At 46.5% G+C, this 15,601-nt stretch overlaps 1 long non-coding RNA gene, 2 other non-coding genes and 1 pseudogene across 6 annotated transcripts in view, besides 1 other annotated feature; 2 read left to right on the top strand and 2 right to left on the bottom strand.

Annotated features, from left to right (window-relative positions):
* The window catches only part of LOC112268274 (uncharacterized), a 43,044-nt gene extending 37,018 nt beyond the window's left edge, over positions 1-6,026 (top strand). For all 4 annotated transcript variants that reach the window (XR_002958622.2, XR_007066567.1, XR_007066568.1 and 1 more), the window contains one exon: positions 5,252-6,026. This is a non-coding gene — a long non-coding RNA (uncharacterized LOC112268274). The remainder of the gene's footprint in view (positions 1-5,251) is intronic.
* Positions 5,807-6,086: a silencer, noted in NCBI's record as "silent region_1276". NCBI's record gives its function as "represses an Ori minimal core promoter by ATAC-STARR-seq in GM12878 lymphoblastoid cells {active_cell/tissue: GM12878}" and the evidence as "EXISTENCE:reporter gene assay evidence [ECO:0000049][PMID:35858748]".
* On the bottom strand, positions 5,869-6,032 carry LOC124904613 (U1 spliceosomal RNA). The gene has a single exon (XR_007067091.1). It is a non-coding gene; the product is annotated as a U1 spliceosomal RNA (small nuclear RNA).
* The window catches only part of SEC22B4P (SEC22 homolog B4, pseudogene), a 61,006-nt pseudogene continuing 51,681 nt past the window's right edge, over positions 6,277-15,601 (top strand).
* On the bottom strand, positions 12,665-12,738 carry TRN-GTT24-1 (tRNA-Asn (anticodon GTT) 24-1). The gene has a single exon. It is a non-coding gene; the product is annotated as a tRNA-Asn (tRNA).

The raw sequence follows: 15,601 nt of genomic DNA, 5'->3' as shown, positions 1-15,601 counted from the left end.
AGTCTCCCATTTAATTTGTCTTGTTCTAAAACCAAATTTCTCTCTCTCTTTTTTTTTTTTTTTCCTTCAGACAGAGTCTCACTCTGTCGCCCAGGCTGGAGTGCAGTGGCGCGGTCTTGGCTCACTACAACCTCTGCCTCCCAGGTTCAAGCAATTCTTCTGCCTCAGCCTCCTGAGTAGCTGGGATTACAGGAGCCCGCCACCATGCCCGGCTAATTTTTGTATTTTTAGTAGAGACAGGGTTTCACCATGTTGGCCAGGCTGATCTCGAACTCCTGACCTCCGGCTCCCAAAGCGCTGGGATTACAGGCGTGAGCCACCGTGCCCAGCGTAACCAAGATTATTGAGCCATTCTAATTTGTCAAAAGAGTCACATTGATTTTTAAAAAAATAACGTAATGGGCCAGGTACGGTGGCTCACGCCTGTAATCCCAGCACCTTGGGAAGCCGTAGCGGGTGGATCACGAGGTCAGGAGTTCGAGACCAGCCTGAGCAACATGGTGAAACCCCGTGTCTACTAAAAATACAAAAATTAGCCGGGCGTGGTGGTGTGTGCCTGTAATCCCAGCTACTGAGGAGGCTGAGGCTGGAGAATTGCTTGAACCCAGGAGGCGGAGGTTGCAGTGAGCCAAGATTGCACCACTGCACTCCAGACTAGGTGACAGAGTGAGACTCCGTTTCAAAATGAATACATAAATAAGCAAATAATAATGTAATAAACGTTTTCATCGTTTACATATTAAATAGATGAAGGGGTGGCCTGCCCCTCCATACTTGTGGGCGTTTCTCGTCGGGTGGAAGGAGAGACTTGAGAAAAGAGAGAGACACAGAGACAAAGTATAGAGAAAGAAAAGTGAGCCCAGGGAACCGGCGCTCAGCATACGGAGGACCCGCGCCGGCACCAGTCTCTGAGTTCCCTTAGTATTTATTGATCATTATCGGGTGTTTCTCGGAGAGGGGGATGTGGCAGAACAATAGGGTAATAGTGGAGAGAGGGTCAGGAGGAAAACATGTGAACAAATGTCTCTGCATCATAAACAAGCTAAAGAAAAAAGTGCTGTGCTTTTGATGTGCATATACAGAAACATCTCAATGCCTTAAAGAGCAGTATTGCTGCCCACATGTCCCACCTCCAGCCCTAAGGGGGTTTTCTCCTATCTCAGTAGATGGAATATACAATCGGGTTTTACACCGAGACATTCCATTGCCCAGGGATGAGCAGGAGACAGATGCCTTCCTCTTTTACTAATCCTCCTCAGCACAGACACTTTACGGGTGTCGGGCTGGGAGACGGTCAGGTATTTCCCTTCCGGCGAGGCCATATTTCAGACTATCACATGGGGAGAAACCTTGGACAATACCTGGCTTTCCTTGGCAGAGGTCCCTGCGGCCTTCTGCAGTGTATTGTGTCTCTGGGTACTTGAGATTAGGGAGTGGTGATGACTCTTAACAAGCATGCTGCCTTCAAACATTTGTTTAACAAAGCACATCCTGCACAGCCCTTAATTCATTTAACCTTGAGTGGACACAGCACATGTTTCAGGGAGCACACGGTTGGGGGTAGGGTTACAGATTAACAGCATCTCAAGGCAGAATTTTTCTTAGTACAGAACAAAATGGAGTCTCTTATGTCTCCTTCTTTCTACATAGACACAGTGACAGTCTGATCTCTCTTTCTTTTCCCCACAATACTTACACTATTTAAATTGTTCAAAAGCATCAAAGATTCCTCTCTGCTGTCAACTTCATTCCATTTATTTTATTGTACCAAACTATCAAGACCATTAATTTAATCTACTGCTAAATCTATTATTTTTTTCATGTTAGAAATTCAACAAGAAAATTTCTCCCTAATGAAACCTCACATTTCAAGCATAAGTAGGCTGGGCGAGGTGGCTCACACCTGTAATCCCAGCACTTTGGGAGGCCAAGACAGGTGCATCACTTGGGGTCAGGAGCTTGAGACCAGCCTGACAAACATGGTGAAACCCCGTCTCTACTAAAAATATAAAAATTAGCTGTGTGTGGTGGCGTGCGCCTGTAATCCCAGCTACTCTGGAGGCTGAGGCAGGGAAATAGCTTCAACCTGGGAGGCAGAGCTTGCAGTGAGCTGAGATTGCACCACTTCAGTCTAGCCTGGGCTACAGAGCAAGACTCTGTCTCAAAAACAAATAAATAAGCATAAGTAGTAAAAAAAAAAAAATAAGATAAAAAATAAGGCGCAGGGTCTTGCTCTGTTATCCAGGCTTGAGTGCAGCGGGGCTATCATAGCTGACCAGCTTGGAACTTCTGGGCTCAGGCAATCCTCCTGGCTCAGCTTGCCTTGTATTTTTTTAGAGATGGGGTCTTGCCCTGTTGCCCAAGCTGGTCTCCAACTGCTGGCCTAAAGCAATCCTTCTGCCTCAGCCTGTTGAGTTGCTGGGAGTACAGGTGCAAGACATGCAGCCTAGCATTGTAGTAAAACAATTTTCAACAAATTCTTAATTTTCTTTCTTTTTCTTTTTCTTTTCTTTTTTTTTTTTTTTTTTTTTTTTTTTTTGAGTTGGGAGTCTCACTCTGTCACCCAGGCTGGAGGGCAGTGGCGCAATCATAGTTCACTGCAGCCTGCCTCAGTCTCCCAAGTAGCTGAGATTATAGTCATGCATTATCATGCCTGGCCAACTTTAAAAAATTAGCTAATACTTAAAAATTTGTAGAGACAGGGGTTTCACTATATTGCCAGGCTGGTATCCAACTCCTAACCTCAATTGATCCTCCCTCCTCAGCCTCCTAAAGTGCTGGGATTGCAGATATGAGCCACCATACCTGGCTTAATTTTCTTATTTTAATTTTATATAAGTGATTATTATTGTTCCTAAGATAATTGGGGCAGTGACTCCTTTAAAATTTTAGAGACCTAATTTGTCTATTCACTTCACTGAAAGAGTATGCCAGTTTGCTTCATGAGAAAATATCCTATATTAATAAAGCAAGAAAATTCCTTCCACCAAACTAGGGGGCATTCTAAAGAAACGAATTGTGCTAAGTAACATCACTTAAGGTGAAAACAGAGGCAATGGTATCTATTAACAATGTTTATCAGTGAAGGAAATAAACTGAAAATATTAACATCATTAAATCCTCAGAGGGCCTTCGTTGCTGAAAATCTGAGTAATATTGTGATACCCTTTTGAGTCCGGCAGGACATTCTCTTTCCAGGGCATATGACAGTGGGCGAATAATTTCTTTTCATTCATTTTCATTAAGGGCTGAACTTCCTTAATGTTCTGGAGATTATTAAATTTGATTTGTATAGTTGTGAAAAGTGCTCATATTGCTGATTCCATTGCTTACATATGATCATATAAGTCTTTTCTCTCCTTTCTGTAGTGTGGTTTAAACTTAATCCTTAAAGGACATGTATTTGAATTTTTCAGCTGGTTAGAAACCTGAATATACCAATCAAAGAAAACTGCTCCTTACATGCTACAGATTTAGTGTTCTTCCTGTGCTAAGATGTCTTTTAGATATAGTAAATTTGTTAAAGCCAAGAGCTCCTATGGAACAAAGTTGGGTGGGAGGGGGGACATTGAGTAGTAAGATCACTCTTGTAATAGAGATGCCACTCTTGCAGATATTGACAACTATTGGGCCCATAAAATTTTTAACAAACATTGGAAAGACAAGATATGAACAACTCATCATTGCTGCAGTCTCAAATATCAGGAAATACCATTATTCTCAGGACAATAAATAGACAATAAAAAAGACTCACAGAGCAGCTTAGCTGTCATGTATTACCAAACAGGGACTGGATCCTTGTCAACACCACCCAACAGAGATTGTCCCCAGAAATTCACTTCATAACATCAAAACCAAAAACCCACACTGATGGCAAAAAATAATGCTGCAAAAATGAGAGAGAGAGAGAGACAGAGAGAGAGAGAGAGAGAGAGAGAGGGAGAGAGAGAGAGAGAGACCTGTCCTACAGCCATACTTAGTGGGTAAAAGCCAAAGAGCTCAATTTCTGCTCATGATACTTAATAGAACAGAGGGAACATGAGCCAATAGCTCAATGGGTTCAGATCTGCACCAAGTGCCTGTTGGATGCAGGATTCTACTGTCTCCAATAATATGTCTCAGATGGACTAGTTTTTTTGTTTTTTGTTTGTTTTGTTTTTGTTTTTTATTTTTTATTTTTTAGAGAAAGTCTCCCTCTGTCGCCCAGGCTGGGGTGCAACGGCACGATCTCGGCTCACCGCAACCTCCGCCTCCCGGGTTCAAGCGATTCTCCTGCCTCAGCCTCCCAAGTAGTTGGGACTACAGACGCACACCACCACGTCTGGCTATTTTTTTGTGTTGTTTTGTTTTGTTTTGTATTTTTAACAGAGACAGAGTTTCACCATGTTGGTCAGGCTGGTCTCGAACTCCTGACCTCAGTTGATCAGAAGTAGGTGAGGTCAGAAAACATACCCTGGGAGAGGCTGGCACAATGCCCAGATCCGCCATCGCTAGGCCTGGGGTTTTCTTCTGTAGTATTCATGTAGTGCAGGGACAAAACCAATTAGATACTTCTGGGAGTTAAAAAGAGATTAATTTGCCGGGCGCGGTGGCTCACGCCTGTAACCCCAGCACTTTGGGAGGGTTCACGAGGTCAGGAGATCGAGACCATCCTGGCTAACGCGGTGAAACCCCGTCTCTACTAAAAATACAAAAAACTAGCCGGGCGTGGTGGCCAGCGCCTGTAGTCCCAGCTCCTGGTAGGAGGCTGAGGCAGGAGAATGGCGTGAACCCGGGAGGCGGAGCTTGCAGAGAGCCGAGATCGTGCCACTGCACTCCAGCCTGAGCGACAGAGCGAGACTCCGTGAAAACAAAAAAAAAAAAAAAAAAAAAGAGATGAATTTACAGTGTCATTTGAGAAGCGGTATTAAGGAATTTGCCAGGGTACTGACGCGTGTCAGGTGCAAACTGCAGGTTGAGAGAGAGCTAAGTATTTTCTGTCCATGAAGGTGATAAGCGAGGGCCTGAAGAAAGAGGAAGAGGGGAGGACACTGGCGCCAGAAATAGGAAAGGGCTGCTTGGGGGTGGGAAGGATGGGTCGGGGTGCTATCTAGAAAGCTGCCTGGCAATGGCTGTGGGATGCGGAAGCGAGACATCAAACAAGAAGCTGTCGCTTAAATAAAGTCTGAAGAAAGACTAGATATGTAAACGGCAGGAGATAGTAGGGAAACTGGACCCGTCTCCTCATAAAACTTCCCGCCTTATATTTCAGGGAGGATCGCAGCGCATTTCGGCCAAGACAGGTGAGACTGCGGTTCTGACCTGCGGGCCTCGATGAATTGCGTTAGGACACCTGGGCTCCGGGAGAGCCGTTCCACTCCGCAAAGTAAGCGTGTTATGTCTACAACCCAACGGGGACGCGCTAAGAGCCCCAAAGGCCCTGCTTTCATCCCAAAGAACAGCCCCCGCCTGCGTAGTTTGTACCCGGCTCTATGAGGTGAGAACACATTCCCCGATAGCACAGAAATCCTACAAACTCCTGAGGGGGCTGCGGCTAGAAGCAGACGCTGTGTGAAATGTGACTGGAGGTTAGGGAAAAACACGTAGATTTTCACAGACCCTGAGAACCCAAGAGACTGCAGACCATGGACAGACAAATCTCTGCAAAAAGCAGCCCCGCGTAGATAAAGGAAGAGCTGTGCGGCCTTCGCGCTAGCTAGCTTGTGTAAAGGTCGACGCTTCTTATTTCTCCCGAGGCGGGGAGAAAGCGACATATTACTACTATTCCTCAACCTCCGACTGTGAGAGAAACGATTAAGAGTAAAGCACAAGCCAGTAAAAAAAACAAGTAACCCTCGCCGTGCAGACTGTTCTTTAAACTACAAAAATCAGGGGAAAGCGCGAACGCAGTCCCCCACTACCACAAATTATGCAGTCGAGTTTCCCACATTTGGGGAAATCGCAGGGGTCAGCACATCCGGAGTGCAATGGATAAGCCTCGCCCTGGGAAAACCACCTTCGTGATCATGGTATCTCCCCTGCCAGGTAAGTATGAGCTTTTGCACCTCCGCCCCGCCACAGCCTCACACGCTTCACCCTTTACACGCACGGTCACTTGCCCCGCGCACCCCCCCCCCCCACCCCCCCCCACCCCCAGCCCTCCTAGCCCTCACACACAGCTGGGACTCTCAGGTCCGACCAGCGGTCCTGAACCCGCTCCCACGGCACGGGAAATCCTTCGTGGCGAAGCAGCAGCCCCTGCGCTGCCTCATTTACATAGAAGTCGCCCTATCCGTGATGTCACCGACAGTGCCTTTCCCAGTCCCCGTCTGCCTTTCTGCCGCTCAGCCTACCAACCCGCTGCCGGAGCCGGCAGGGGGAAGTGACGTCTGTCTCTCCCTTTTTCCCTCCCGCCCCGGCATCTGTTCTCGCCCGAAGAAGCTGGTCCTTAGCCTGCGCTGCGGAGCAACCTTTCGGTGGCCAGCTGGAGCCTGGGCACCGTTCTTCAAATAATGGCTTTTAATTCTCAGACGAGAACGTTTAGGATTACAAAAGAAACCGGTTCTCTTCACATCCTTATCCTTGTCATGTAGCATTCCGCTTGAAATTGGAAGCCGTTCAATGTCAGAGAGAAACCATATTTATGAAATGAAAGAGGCTTCTCAGATGACTGCAAACCAGCCTTCCTTACTGGTTTTATCACTGGTAATGTTATAAAGACAGTTGTCCAGTTTCATGAATCTTGTAGGTTTTTGTTTGTTTATTTGTTTGCTTTTGATGTTGTTGTTGTTGCTGTTGTTTTCCAAATTCAGTATTGTAGAAAAATATGCTGCCCCAGAAGAGATGATTGGACACTCTCCAGCGTGGTGTTGGACTTTGTCATCTCTTGCACAGCCATCTCCAGACCTTAGTGCTTACCTCACGTTAGTTTTTTATATTCTGCAAAGACAAAACCAAAATAATCCAAATTTGACACAAATACCTGGGATACATCTTATTTGAGATGTTTAACAAATGTCTGGATCATCTTTTCTTACATTGGATTATAACGCAGGAAACACTGTGAAGTAAGTAAAGTTGGAATCCAAGTCAAAGACCATTTGAATATTTACAAGTAGATTTGAGGCAGGAATAATACAGGGTGGCCGCAGGGTAACAAATTCTAGGCAGCAGATTTACATGACTTGAGGCTATGGGCTGATAAGACGCTGAAAAACCAGGGTGTGGACCAAGCTGGCTAAGACTGACTGGACCCAATGTGGTGCTAGATTTGAGGTAGGTTTTACCTAGGCCCTCATTATACGCTTATTAACATACTAAATCACACACCCACCAGTGCCATGACAGTTCTGAGACCAATATGTGATGTAAAAATGGATGGCACCACAGTTCCGAGAAATCTCCACCTTTACCCAGGAATTTTCACGAATATTCCACTCCTTGGTTAAAGAAACCCATCGAGATGAAACCCCAGAACCCATTGTTCTCTCTCGGGTATGCCCGAACTCCCCTTTCTTGAGTGTGTACTTTCTGCTTTGCAATACATCTCTTCTTTCACTATTTGCTGACTCATCCTTGACTTGGTTCTCCAGATGGTGTCAAGAGCCTGGACACCACAGCTGGGGTCGAGATCCCACCAGTGTCTGGGGACCTTCCCCAGGCCACCAGTATCAGATTCTATTCCATTGCTCAAATCACAAAACATTGAATGGAGAGGTCTCCTCTGGAGAGCATAAAGTAAAGATTCTGTGGCATGGTGGCCAGTTAGGCCACTGGAAGGCATGGCAAAATATTGAAAATGAGGGATTAGGTGACGGTATAGTAACTGCTGAATACTAAATACTTGATCCAGGCCCCATTCCCTGGAGACTGACAGAGAGACACATCGTCCAGGTAGTAGTGGAGAAATACTTTCTGGGTATCTGACCAGCCTTCGTGGAAAGAACTGGCACCATCCTGCAGGTGCAACTGCCTGATGGGTTCTTCCTGCCCATTGTACATACAAAATCAATTCATGGAGACCATGGCATTGCAGTAAAGAGTTTAATTGACACAGGCCAGCCACAACATGTGGGGGACGGAGTTATTACTCAAATCTATCTCACTGAAGGCTTGGAGGTAAGGGTTTTTTCAAAGACAGTTTGGTGGGGAGGGGGCCAGGGTTTGGGCAGTGCTGATTGTTGGGGATGAAATCACAGGGGTGTGGAAAATGGCCCTCCTGCATTGAGTCAGCTTCTGGGTGGGAGCTAAGGGACTGGTTGATTTGCGGGCCAAATGGTGACATCCAGTAGTCAGAAATGCAAAAGCCTGAAAAGGCATCTCAAGAGGCCAGTCTTAGGTTCTGCAATAGTGATGTTCTTCACAGTGGTAATTGGGGAAGCTGTAAATCTTGTGACCTCTGGAATAATGGCTGGTAATTATTTAACGAGGCATACATCTTAGTAGAATTCAGGTCCCTTTCATCCTCCTAACTTGGTGGCCTTTCATTAGTTTTACAGGGGTAATTTAGTTTTGGGGAAGGTTATCATTTAAACCCACCTTTCTGGCTGTCCCCAATGTTTTTGGCACCAGGGACTGGTTTCATGGAAGACAATTTTTCCATGGAAGGGGGTTTCCGGATGAAACTGTTCCACCTCAGGTCATCAGGCATTAGTTACAGTCTCATAAGGAGTGTGCAATCTGGGTCCGAGCTCCGACGAGAATCTAATGCCGATGCTGATCTGACAAGAGGCGGAGCTCAGGTGGTAATGCTCCAAAGCCTGCAGCTCACCTCCTGCCGTTTGGCTGGGTTCCTAACAGGCCATGGACCAGTACCTGTCTTGTGGCCCTGGGGGTTGGGGACCCCTGATTTAAACTATAAACTCAACTTTTCCCAAAGATAGCTTGGGAGAAATTGCACAGGAATGAGCAAAGACAGCTAGCCTGTGAGGCTAGAACCAAAATGGAGTCAGCCATGTCAGATTTCTCTGATTGTCATAATTTTGCAAAAGTAGTTTCAGAGGGACTACCCTGACACCTGTTAAAAGCATGAGGCGGATTTTATTGTATGTACTGCAGTAGGCAAGAGAGACCAGCAGAGAACCGAGCTCAACTCCAAATACAGCAAGAAGAGTTGAAGATTTATAGCCAATCGGCAAGGTAAGAAAGTCAGTGGATGGAAAATTACTAAGAGGAACTTGATTAGCTATCAAAGGTGGTTGGGAGGACTCTTGCTAAACTAGGCTCAATGGTATTCTTTTCTAAAACTGGACTTGGCAGGCCAAGAACTAATAGAGAAAAGGGCTCAGAGGAAACTGACTAAGGTTTGGTCAAAGATGGAGTCCTTGTCAACTCTACATTGAAGCTTCTGCAAATAAACAAAGACCAACCAAATGAAAAAAAGCAAAGGCTATTTATTCTGAGCTTGCTATGGCAGGGAGTCAGCCACTGTTACTTGTGTTTTGGCAGAGACTTGAAGGCAGTCAGAAGGGTGGGAAAGCTTTTTAAAAGGAAAGGCTTCAGGTATGCTTGGATTGGAGGCTGTCAGCACGGTGAAGCTATAGATAGACGAAAAAATCAAAATATTTTACCCCAGAATATATTTCTTTGACATATTTTAAGATGGCTGTCAGAGAGCCAGCAAACAGAAGTAACTCTGCAAAACTGTCTTTTGTAGGGGAAATTTACACCTGCAGAGAATCTGCATTAATCCAGCCTTCCCTTGTCAGCACTGAGAAATAAAAATAAGCCCTAGGCCCTACAACCAACTGAACGGACTCCCTCTTGGCTGACAGGACCACAGAGAAACCTTGAAAGCTGTTTCTGGCTATGACAGGATAGGAGGTCGGACATGCCCCCCTTAAAACCCCTCCCTCACTAACCGCCATTATGAGGCAGGAGAACAGCAGAGGGAGTTGGAAGTTGGATAAAAGGCAGAATGAGTAAAAGCAGAAACAGAAGCAAGGTGATGGGGTGGGAGAGCAAGAAGCAAGATAAAAGGCAGCAGTTGAGTGGCCAAAACAAAAAGTAAGATTAAAAAAAGCAAGCAAGGCCGGGCGCAGCCCCTCACCCCTGTAATTCCAGCAGTTTGGGAGGCCAAGGCAGGTGGATCGCCCGAGGTCAGGAGTTCGAGACCAGCCTGACCAATGTAGTGAAACCCCTTCTCTACTAAAAATACAAAAAAATAGCTGGGCATGGTGGTACACTCCTGTACTCCCAGCTACTCAGGAGGCTGAGACAGGAGAATTGCTTGAACCCAGGAGGCAGAGGTTGCAGTGAGCCAAGATCATGCCACTGCACTCCAGACTGGGCAACAGAGCGAGACCCTGTCTTAAAAAAAAAAAAAAAAAAGCAAGCAAGGACCCCATGGCCAGCAAGATCCAAACCAGGAAAGGGGCAGCTCTTCAGAGATAGGCATGTGCATTAGAGAGAAAAAGTATCCTTAACATGACTTCATATGATAATCAGCTCATTAAAGCTCATGCATACAGACTGCATATCATGCATGTACTTAAAATTATGGGATGGAGGCAGCATTCAAGCACACAAGGGCCAAAGTAACTAAGCAACCCACCTATCAATCAAAAGGCAAACAGTGGCTAAAGATTAGGCATCCTTGGCCGGGCACAGTGGCTCACGCCTGTAATCTCAGCACTTTGCGAGGCCGAGGCGGGAGGATCGTGAGGTCGGGAGATCGAGACCATCCTGGCTAACACGGTGAAACCACGTCTCTACTAAAAATACAAAAAAATTAGTCGGGCGTGGTGGCAGGCGCCTGTAGTCCCAGCTGCTGGGGAGGCTGAGGCAGGAGAATGGCGTGAACCCGTGAGGCAGAGCTTGCAGTGAGCCGGGATCGTGCCACTGCACTCCAGCCTGGGTGACAGAGTGAGACTCCGCCTCATCAAACAAACAAACAAACAAACAAAAACAGTAGGCATCCTTGTGAAGAGAAGGAAAAACACACACACACACACACAAAGACCCCAAGTACACCAAACTAATACTGATCTCATCTCCCAGAGGTCAGCCCACCCTCCCCACTCTGAGAGTGTTACTGTGCTTAATAAACTTTTGCTTTGCTTTGCTGCTTTTTGTGTGTCATGTACAGTTCTTTGTTTGGGACACCAAGAGACTGGAACTGCACGGCACCAGCTGGTAAGAATTAGGCTTTTTTGGCCGGGCGCGGTGGCTTATGCCTGTAATCCCAGCACTTTGCGAGGCCAAGGCGGGCGGATCACGAGGTCAGGAAATCGAGACCATCCTGGCTAACACGGTAAAACCCCATCTCTACTAAAAATAAAAAAAATTAGCCGGGCGTGGTGGCGGGCGCCTGTAGTCCCAGCTACTCGGGAGGCTGAGGCAGGAGAATGGCCTGAACCCGGGAGGCGGAGCTTGCAGTGAGCCGAGATCGCGCCACTGCACTCCAGCCTGGGCGACAGAGAGAGACTCCGTCTCAAAAAAAAAGAATTAGGCTTTTTTTTCCCTAAGGGTTAACAACAAACCAGCCCTTTGGAAAGACTTGCTTCACCACTGTTACCAACCAACGGCCTGATGCTTTTCCTCAGTTTTGTGATTTTGACAAAACAAGCAAGCAGCATTCCCTCCTGATAAGAGACCACCGACCTAGGAATGATTCTGGCCAGACTAGAGAGGATGCACAGTGAGGGTTTTCATGTCCTCTGCTTCAGCTTTTGATGTCAGAGGGCCACAAACTCCACTCTCAGATGATTGCTAATGCCACCATTTTATGAACATGGGCCCCATGGAGAGGCACGAAGCTCAATTGCACTTCTGCACATTTTTCCTCCTATAAATATTGCTATTGGAATATTATTTGGTACGGCTCCCGTGAAAGATACATTTGCAGAATGTACTCAAATTACAAGCATCATGTAAACCCTATAATGTAGCAATAGTGCATCAACTTCCCTACACTATAGAAATATCTGCGGTGTAGACATTTCCACAATGACCAAAGATATGTGTACAAGAAAGGTGGCTGCAGCATTCTTTGTAATCCTAAAACAATGAAACCTACCTCATCTCAAAAACTTTATTTTTTTATTTTTATTTTTTTTTTGAGATGGAGTCTCGCTCTGTTGCCCAGGTGGGAGTGTAGCAGTGCAGCCTCCACTGGTGCAGCCTCCACTGCAGCCTCCACCTCCCAGGTTCAAATGATTCTCCTGCCTCAGAATCCCAAGTACCTGGGATTACAGGCACATGCCACCATGCCTGGCTAACAAAAACATTTTGAAAAGGGTTAAATAAATCATGCACAAACTGAGGAAAAATACTCTTTTCAAAAATGATGGAGAGGATCACTATGATGATGAATGATTCCACTGGTCACATTATTGATAGAGCAATCAGTAAATCCAGGCACATCCTGGGGATATTACTGACCTCCTATTATTAAAATATGAAAAAATGGAGGCATGTAAATTACTCGTTTAAGCGTATAACGGACTGAATTAGAATTTTATCACACCAGAAGTGGGTTCCTAGGTCTCTGTTTCAGGATTCCTGAGTTACACACGTATAAACCCAGGATTTCAGGAGATACCCGGTTAAGAATCCGGTCGGGGAGGTGGGCTGGCCCTTGACATGGATAAGTCACAAATTAGTGGCTTAGGACTCCAGGAAGATAAAATCTTCCCCATTTATCTAGTGATTGACAATGCGTGAATACTTTAAAAGCTCGAACAAGCGTCCCTGGGTGGGCTGGAACCACCAACCTTGCGGTTAACAGCCGAACGCGCTAACCGATTGCGCCACAGAGACAGGTACTGTCAGTTCTACTGGGCGCTATAGGAAGGGCGCACGCACGAAACTTCCTCCGTCCCTTGCATCCTCAGGGCCCTCCCAGCAGGACGACTGAGCAAGGCCTTGGAAGACCGGAGAGATTGGAGCGGTAAGTCGCGCTGGTCACGTTGGACACCTGCGCGTTGGGAGATTCTGGAGCCAGAAGGATAGCCGAATGGCCTTCGCCCGCCCTGCCCCTCGCCTGCTTCAGAAACCCCCGGAAACGCCCCGGTTGAGACCCCGGCCCGAGCCGCCTGGGGGCCCTAGGGAGGCTGAACGCCCGGTGGCTCCCGGGATGGCTCTTCCCGTTCTTTGCGCCGCCTTCACCCAGTGAGGGAGCCTGTGCCCTCCCTGCCCAGTCGCTTTTGGGGCCGCTGCGGAGCTTCCGCTGCCATCTTCGGATCCTGTGTTCCGCACGGGGGCTCCACCAGGGCAGGGATCGTGGTGAGGGTGGCTCGTGGGTCCCCCTCGCGGGGAGCAGGGTCTGGCACTCACCAGGGCGCAGGACTAGGACTTGTCGAATGAATCCATCCTTTTAGCTTTTAGTCCTTTGAAGAGCCTTGAGAATGGAAATCATGAGAGATTTTTCCATGGGGAAGTTCCTTTTACAAAGCATTTATTTACGTTGACTTCTTGGCACCCCGCGGGGCGGCAACGGGCAGGGCCTCCAGTGCACCTTCTGCGCCGTGGAGCCGCGGGGGCTCAGCTGGGCGGTGGTCGGGTCCTGAGGCCGGAGGGCGGGAGCAGGGGAGGGGAAAAGCAAAAGCGGGGAAAGAAGCCGGGGAGCGGTGGACCAGACGTCCAGACCTCCTGAAAGGCTGGCGGGGAGGCACAGGCGGGATCTTCCGGAGGTGAGAATTTTTTTTTATTATAGCAGAATGGGGAGGAATTGAGGGGAAAATGGAGATAGAACCTGAAAGAGCCCCAAACGCCAGAACCTGTAGCTCCCCAAGAATAAGATCTTCCAGAAGAACTAGACCCAAAACTAGCCGTTGGGGAACACCGAAATCCTTGGAGGAGCAACATCCGCATGACCCTTTGTGTTCCTTTAGGCAAAAGGACTTGCTTCCATTGTTTGTTCAATTGTTTGTGTTTGTTAAATAAATAAAACGATTTTCATGTATCTTTGAAATTACTTTGGCGCTACTATTTTATGATTGCAAATAATGCGGCAGTGATCATTCTTGTACACTTCTCATTGGCCATTTGTGTATTTCTATAGGGTAGAGGCCTGGAGAGCAGTTGCTCCAGCATAGGGATTACACAGTTTTTGTTTGTTTGTTTGTTTATTTATTTATTTATTTATTTTTGAGACAGAGTCTCGCTCTGTCACCCAGGCTGGAGTGCAGTGGCGCCATCTCAGCTCTCACTGCAACCTCCGCCTCCCGGGTTCAAGCGAATCTCCTGCTTCAGCCTCCCAAGTAGCTGAGATTACAGGTCCGCGCGAGCCACCACATCGGGCTAATTTTTGTATTTTTAGTAGAGACGGGGTTTCACCGTTTTGGCCAGGCCGGTCTCAAACTCCTGACCTCAAGTGATCTGCCTGCCTTGGCCTCTCAAAGTGCTGGGATTACAGGCATGAGCCACCGCACCCAGCGATTACATGTTTTTTTTTTATATATCATTCTATTTTCTTTCCTTATTTGGCTTATTAGCTGTAACTCTTTCTTTTGTTATGTCAGTGATGGCTTTAGGGTCCCTAGAATACATCTTTATCCATCTGCCATCAAGTGACATTATACCTCCCCTTCTGGCCTTTATGCTAGTGTTGTCAGGGAATTTGATTTTGGACATGTTATAAACCCCAACATCCAAGTACGTACATAGCGATTTTCAGTCGTCTCCATTTCTTTGTGTAGGTTCAGATTTCTGTTTGGTATCCTTATCCTTAGGCCTGGAGGACTCCTTTAATATTTCTTGTAGTGTGGTTCGGTGAATTCTGTCATTTTTTTGTATGTCTTTAAATGTCCTGATTTCAGTCACATTTTTGAAAGATATTTCAATTTGGCATAGAATTCTAGAATAACTTTTTTTCTCTCAGTACTTTAGGATGTTGCCACTTTGACGCTTTGTCATTGACATATATTTGCTGTTTTTGTAAACTTGGCATAAAGTGGGTTTCCTGTACTTGTTATATGATTTTTGGATTGTGTATTCAAATTAAAAGTATTAAATTAAAATTAAAATGGCCTGGGCGAGGTGGCTCACACCTGTAATCCCAGCACTTTGGGAAGGGGAGGCAGAGGATCGCTTGAGACCCAGAGTTGGAGACCACCCTGGGCAAGATAGCAAGACCGTGTGTGTGTGTGTGTGTGTGTGTGTGTGTGTGTGTGTGTGTATGTGTGTGTATATATATACACATAAATATGTATATATATTATATGTATGTATGTATATATAAGTCCTACAGTCACCTTAAGTTCCACCAACAGTGCGCTTAAGGTAAAATGTGCCCAACCTGAGGCTCAAACCTACCTGCTGGCACGCAATTTGTGTTTGTGAGACAATCTCAACAGCATTTGCTTTTTCTAGCATAGTGGTTTTCCTGTTTTCCTCACATGTGAATGTCTTCAGTGCAAAACCTGTCAGAATTCATTTCCTTTGCTAAAATGTTTTAAAATAACTCTTACTTCAAGTAAGTGCATTAAAAATAAACTTCTCAGTTGCATCCCTGGAATCCATGGAAAGTCCAGGAGAGACAATCAAGTGCTACAGGATCAAGCCCAAACAGAACAGGACTAGGCATGGCTTCCTCACTAGGAGCCAGGCCAAAGTCATCTCCTTTGGTCTCCAATGGAGGCCAGAACTCGGTTCACCTGCAACGGGAGGACCTGGCCCAGAA

Source organism: Homo sapiens, chromosome 1 (assembly GCF_000001405.40).
Source record: "Homo sapiens chromosome 1, GRCh38.p14 Primary Assembly".
In the NCBI taxonomy this organism is placed as follows: Eukaryota; Metazoa; Chordata; class Mammalia; order Primates; family Hominidae; genus Homo; species Homo sapiens.
The sequence above is the reverse complement of the archived record's forward strand: the minus strand, read 5'-3'. Positions and strand labels throughout refer to the sequence as shown.